The sequence below is a fragment of the Homo sapiens genome, chromosome 4 (assembly GCF_000001405.40).
Source record: "Homo sapiens chromosome 4, GRCh38.p14 Primary Assembly".
In the NCBI taxonomy this organism is placed as follows: Eukaryota; Metazoa; Chordata; class Mammalia; order Primates; family Hominidae; genus Homo; species Homo sapiens.
The window spans coordinates 189684526-189690862 of record NC_000004.12 but is presented as its reverse complement, the minus strand read 5'-3'; the positions used below and the strand labels follow the sequence as shown (position 1 = coordinate 189690862).

Below are 6337 nucleotides of genomic sequence, written 5' to 3'. Positions count from 1 at the left end.
GTACAAGTATTTTTAAGTGCCCTGTGGAAAGTGCTGTCAAGTCCAGGCTGTGTCAAGCTCATGCTTTGTGGTGAAACAGGGATCTAAGCCACAAACTCCTGAAAAGAAAGTTTCTAGTCCCTTTTTGTCTGGGTCATTCAGGAGCATCGAGACTGACACACCTGGTAAGACTCCTGTTCTTCATCCCTGTCATCAGTCATGTAACACTCTTAGTGCTCACTGTGTGCCTGGCTCCGTGTTAAGTGCTATTTCAGTGAAATGTTAGCACTGTAAAATGGTTTCAGAAAAAGGCATTTGTGGTCACTCTCAAGTAAATGCCCAAATGGTCTAACTAGCTTATTAAGCAGGATCACTCATTAAAATCTATGAGATTTGCATAAAATGCACTCTGCAGCACCGCTCTCACAGACACAATGGCAACAGCCCTTTGAACTAAGGCCGTAAGTTTCCTTAATGGGTTACATCAAAATTTAATGGCCCAGAGCTGGGCCACTTAGGTTTACTACCTGGACAGATGTGTTGAATGCTGCTAATGGGAAGACTGTAAGGTACTGGCTGTATGATACCCTGCCTTTAAATTCTGTAATGGATACAGATGCCATTGGTTAACAGTTTTTATTTCTTCCTTAACAAAAAGGGTTTTATAATAAGCAAGTCAACGATTTTTCTTCGGCAAGGACTTCAAGTACATTTCTGACCTCATCTCCCACTCTCCCTCTGTCCTTTCCATGAACGCCACGCTGGCCTCCTTGATGCTCCTCGAAAATGCCAAGCTCCTCGGGGCCACTGTATTTGTGCAGCCTCTCTTGGAACACTGTGTACATCTGGGCTCTTGGAGCAGCAAACACCGGAATGGTATTTGCCACTCAAGAGATTATTTGGGAGAAGTGCATGTGGAGGAAAATGAGAAGGGGCTGCAGGGGGCTGGGCAGGCAAAGTCTTAAAATGCAGTGCAATTCTGAGAAACTTTTGGCAAGGCTGGTAGTAGAACCCTCCAGCCCAGGCTGCCCAGCAGAGGAGTCTTTCATCTCCTCGCAGCAGGCCTGCCTTTATACTCCACCATGGTGGGTTACCGGCTGACAGTGGTAGATTTCAGGGCGGCAGCTGGCTGTTGGCCAGCCGCTAACAGTCACCAGCCCCTAGGGGCCACGAGATTTGACAAGCCCCTTCCCAGGGCCACCACGAGCTCTCTTGGTCTACAGTTCTCAGGACTGCTTCTCGTACGTTTAGCTTCTGTTAAATATCCCCTCTGTGGGGTCTGCCCTGTTCATCCCATGTAAACATATAAATAGCAACCCCTTCATTTCCCCTCACCTTCTACCCCATGTCAGTTACTGTTATCTGCTTTGTTTATTCATTGCATCAAGATACAACATACAGTCATCTGTCGATATTCATGAGAAATTGGATCCAGGACCTCCCCCAGATACCAGAATCCCTAGACGCTCAAGTCCCTGATATGCAGTTGTGTAGTATTCAGCGTAGACTATGCACATTCTCCCTATACTTTAAATCATCTCTAGATTACTGGTAACACCTACTACAATGTAAATGCTATGCAAATCGTTGTTACACTGTGTCATTTAGAGAATAATAAAAAGAAAAACTTTGTATATGTTCAATACAGTTTAAAGGGCTTTTTTTGCAAATATTTTTGACTCGTGGCTGCTTGAATCAGCACATGCACAAATCACAGATACAAAGGACTAACTGTATGTTTCCTTGTTGATGTCACGTGACCTCGCTTTAGTAACAGATAGAAGGTCTGTGTTTCCTTGTTGATGTCGCGTGAGCTCCCTTTAGTAACAGACAGAAGGACTGTGTTTCCTTGCTGATGTCACGTGAGCTCCCTTTAGTAACAGATAGAAGGACTGTGTTTCCTTGCTGATGTCACGTGAGCTACCTTTAGTAACAGATAGAAGGACTGTGTTTTCTTGCTGATGTCACGTGAGCTCCCTTTAGTAACAGATAGAAGGACTAAGTGTGTTTCCTTGTTGATGTCACGTGAGCCCCCTTTAGTAACAGATAGAAGGACTGTGTTTCCTTGTTGATATCGCGTGAGCTCGCTTTAGTAACAGATAGAAGGACTAAGTGTGTTTCCTTGTTGATGTCACATGAGCTCGCTTTAGTAACAGATAGGACTAAGTGTGTTTCCTTGTTGATGTCACATGAGCCCCCTTTAGTAACAGATAGAAGGACTGTGTTTCCTTGCTGATGTCACGTGAGCTCGCTTTAGTAACAGATAGAAGGACTAAGTGTGTTTCCTTGTTGATATCACGTGAGTTCGCGTTAGTAACAGATAGAAGGACTGTGTTTCCTTGTTGATGTCGCATGAGCTCGCTTTAGTAACAGAAGGACTAAGTGTGTATCCTTGTTGATGTCACGTGAGCCCCCTTTAGTAACAGATAGAAGGACTGTGTTTCCTTGTTGATGTCGCGTGAGCTCACTTTAGTAACAGATAGAAGGACTAAGTGTGTTTCCTTGTTGATGTCACATGAGCTCGCTTTAGTAACAGATAGAAGGACTAAGTGTGTTTCCTTGTTGATGTCACGTGAGCCCCCTTTAGTAACAGAAAGAAGGACTGTGTTTCCTTGTTGATGTCGCGTGAGCTCGATTTAGTAACAGATAGAAGGACTAAGTGTGTTTCCTTGTTGATGTCACGCGAGCTCGCTTTAGTAACAGATAGAAGGTCTAAGTGTGTTTCCTTGTTGATGTCATGTGAGCTCGCTTTAGTAACAGATAGAAGGACTAAGTGTGATTCCTTGTTGATGTCACGTGAGCTCGCTTTAGTAAAAGATAGAAGGACTAACTGTGTTTCCTTGTTTATGCCACGTGAGCTCCCTTTAGTAACAGATAAGACTGTGTTTCCTTGTCGATGTCGCATGAGCTCGCTTTAGTAACAGATACAAGGACTAACTGTGTTTCCCTGTTGATGTCGCGTGAGCTCGCTTTAGTAACAGATAGAAGGACTAAGTGTGTTTCCTTGTTGATGTCGCGTGAGCTCGCTTTAGTAACAGATAGAAGGACTAACTGTGTTTCCTTGTTGATGCCACGTGAGCTCCCTTTAGTAACAGATAGAAGGACTAAGTGTGTTTCCTTGTTGATGCCACGTGAGCCCCCTTTAGTAACAGATAGAAGGACTCTGTTTCCTTGTTGATGTCATGTGAGCTTGCTTTAGTAACAGATAGAAGGACTAACTGTGTTTCCTTGTTGAAGTCACGTGAGCCCCCTTTAGTAACAGATAGAAGGACTAAGTCTATTTCCTTGTTGATGTCACGTGAGCTCACTTTAGTAACAGATAAGACTGTGTTTCCTTGCTGAGGTCACGTGAACTCCCTTTAGTAACAGATAGAAGGACTAAGTGTGTTTCCTTGTTGATGTCACATGAGCTCGCTTTAGTAACAGATAGGACTAAGTGTGTTTCCTTGTTGATGTCACATGAGCCCCCTTTAGTAACAGATAGAAGGACTGTGTTTCCTTGTTGATGTCACATGAGCTCACTTTAGTAACAGATAGAAGGACTAAGTGTGTTTCCTTGTTGATGTCACGTGAGCTCGCTTTAGTAACAGATAGAAGGACTGTGTTTCCTTGTTGATGTCGCATGAGCTCGCTTTAGTAACAGATAGCAGGACTAAGTGTGTTTCCTTGTTCATGTCACGTGAGCCCCCTTTAGTAACAGATAGAAGGACTGTGTTTCCTTGTTGATGTCGCGTGAGCTCGCATTAGTAACAGATAGAAGGACTAAGTGTGTTTCCTTGTTGATGTCACATGAGCTCGCTTTAGTAACAGATAGAAGAACTAAGTGTGTTTCCTTGTTGATGTCACATGAGCCCCCTTTAGTAACAGATAGAAGGACTGTGTTTCCTTGCTGATGTCGCGTGAGCTCGCTTTAGTAACAGATAGAAGGACTAAGTGTGTTTCCTTGTTGATATCACGTGAGTTCGCGTTAGTAACAGATAGAAGGACTGTGTTTCCTTGTTGATGTCGCATGAGCTCGCTTTAGTAACAGATAGAAGGACTAAGTGTGTATCCTTGTTGATGTCACGTGAGCCCCCTTTAGTAACAGATAGAAGGACTGTGTTTCCTTGTTGATGTCGCGTGAGCTCACTTTAGTAACAGATAGAAGGACTAAGTGTGTTTCCTTGTTGATGTCACATGAGCTCGCTTTAGTAACAGATAGAAGGTCTAAGTGTGTTTCCTTGTTGATGTCACGTGAGCCCCCTTTAGTAACAGGAAGAAGGACTGTGTTTCCTTGTTGATGTTGCGTGAGCTCGATTTAGTAACAGATAGAAGGACTAAGTGTGTTTCCTTGTTGATGTCACGTGAGCTCGCTTTAGTAACAGATAGAAGGTCTAAGTGTGTTTCCTTGTTGATGTCACGTGAGCTCGCTTTAGTAAAAGATAGAAGGACTAACTGTGTTTCCTTGTTGATGCCACGTGAGCTCCCTTTAGTAACAGATAAGACTGTGTTTCCTTGTCGATGTCGCATGAGCTCGCTTTAGTAACAGATACAAGGACTAACTGTGTTTCCCTGTTGATGTCGCGTGAGCTCGCTTTAGTAACAGATAGAAGGACTAACTGTGTTTCCTTGTTGATGTCTCGTGAGCTCCCTTTAGTAACAGATAGAAGGACTAACTGTGTTTCCTTGCTGATGTCACGTGAACTCCCTTTAGTAACAGATAGAAGGACTAAGTGTGTTTCCTTGTTGATGTCACGTGAGCTCGCTTTAGTAACAGAGAGAGGGACTAACTGTGTTTCCTTGTTGATGTCATGTGAGCTCGCTTTAGTAACAGATAGAAGGACTGTGTTTCCTTGTTGATGTCGCGTGAGCTCCCTTTAGTAACAGATAGAAGGGCTGTGTTTCCTTGCTGATGTCATGTGAACTCCCTTTAGTAACAGATAGAAGGACTAAGTGTGTTTCCTGGCTGATGTCACGTGAGCTCCCTTTAGTAACAGATAGAAGGACTGATTGTGTTTCCTTGTTGATGTCGCGTGGGCTCCCTTTAATAACAGATAGAAGGACAAACTGTGTTTCCTTGTTGATGTCACATGAGCTCCCTTTAGCAACAGATAGAAGGACTAACTGTGTGTTTCCTTGTTGATGTCACATGAGCTCCCTTTAGTAACAGAAGGAGTAAGTGTGTGTTTCCTTGTTGATGTCATGAGCTCGCTTGAGTAACAGATACAAAGGACTAAGTGTGTATTTTCTTGTTGTTGTCAGGTGAGCTTGCTTTAGTAACAGATAGAAGGACTAACTGTGTTTCCTTGTTGATGTCACATGAGCTCACTTTAGTAACGGATAGAAGGACTAAGTTTGTTTCCTTGTTGATGTCACGTGAGCTCCCTTTAGTAACAGATAGAAGGACTGTGTTTCCTTGTTGATGTCGCGTGAGCTCCCTTTAGTAACAGATAGAAGGACTAAGTGTGTTTCGTTTTTGATGTCACGTGAGCTCCCTTTAGTAACAGATAGTACTGTGTTTCCTTGCTGATGTCACGTGAGCTCCCTGTAGTAACAGATGGAAGGACTAAGTGTGTTTCCTTGTTGATGTCACGTGAGCTCCCTTTAGTAACAGATAGAAGGACTAACTGTGTTTCCTTGTTGATGTCTCGTGAGCTCCCTTTAGTAACAGATAGAAGGACTAACTGTGTTTCCTTGTTGATGTCGCGTGAGCTCGCTTTAGTAACAGATAAGACTGTGTTTCCTTGCTGATGTCACGTGAACTCCCTTTAGTAACAGATAGAAGGACTAAGTGTGTTTCCTTGTTGATGTCACGTGAGCTCGCTTTAGTAACAGATAGAAGGACTAAGTGTGTGTTTCCTTGTTGGTGCCACGTGAGCTCCCTTTAGTAACAGATAGAAGGACTAAGTGTGTATATATCAATGTATTAGCATAATATATTTATATTATGTATTAACATACAATATTATTTTATTATATGTTACATAACTAATTAACATGATTAAATAAATGCTGTGACTTTACCTGTATATCGAATTATCTAGACTCCTAGAAATATGGTTGCAGGATGAAGACTTTACCCTTGCTGAAATTTCTGTGCCTCTCCTCCCTGCTTCCAGAAAGGCAGTGTTGGAAAATGCCTGTCTCAATGCACACTCAACAGCACTGTTTTTTGTTTGTCTGTCGTTTTTTTGAGATGGAGCCTCATTCTGTTGCCCAGGCTGGAGTACAGCGGCCTGATCTCAGCTCACTGCAACTTCTGCCTCCCAGGTTCAAGCGATTCTCCTGCCTCAGCCTCCCAGGTAGTTGGGATCACAGGCGTGCACCATCATGCCCAGCTAATTTTTGTATTTTTAGTAGAGATGTGGTTTCACCATGT

General features: G+C 43.2%; 2 annotated features.

Annotated features, from left to right (window-relative positions):
* Positions 2406 to 3605: an enhancer, noted in NCBI's record as "BRD4-independent group 4 enhancer chr4:190608412-190609611 (GRCh37/hg19 assembly coordinates)". NCBI's record gives its function as "activates an origin of replication core promoter dependent on BRD2, P300/CBP, MED14 and CDK7 cofactors, and independent of BRD4, by STARR-seq in HCT116 cells {active_cell/tissue: HCT116}" and the evidence as "EXISTENCE:reporter gene assay evidence [ECO:0000049][PMID:35650434]".
* Positions 4119 to 5318: an enhancer, noted in NCBI's record as "BRD4-independent group 4 enhancer chr4:190606699-190607898 (GRCh37/hg19 assembly coordinates)". NCBI's record gives its function as "activates an origin of replication core promoter dependent on BRD2, P300/CBP, MED14 and CDK7 cofactors, and independent of BRD4, by STARR-seq in HCT116 cells {active_cell/tissue: HCT116}" and the evidence as "EXISTENCE:reporter gene assay evidence [ECO:0000049][PMID:35650434]".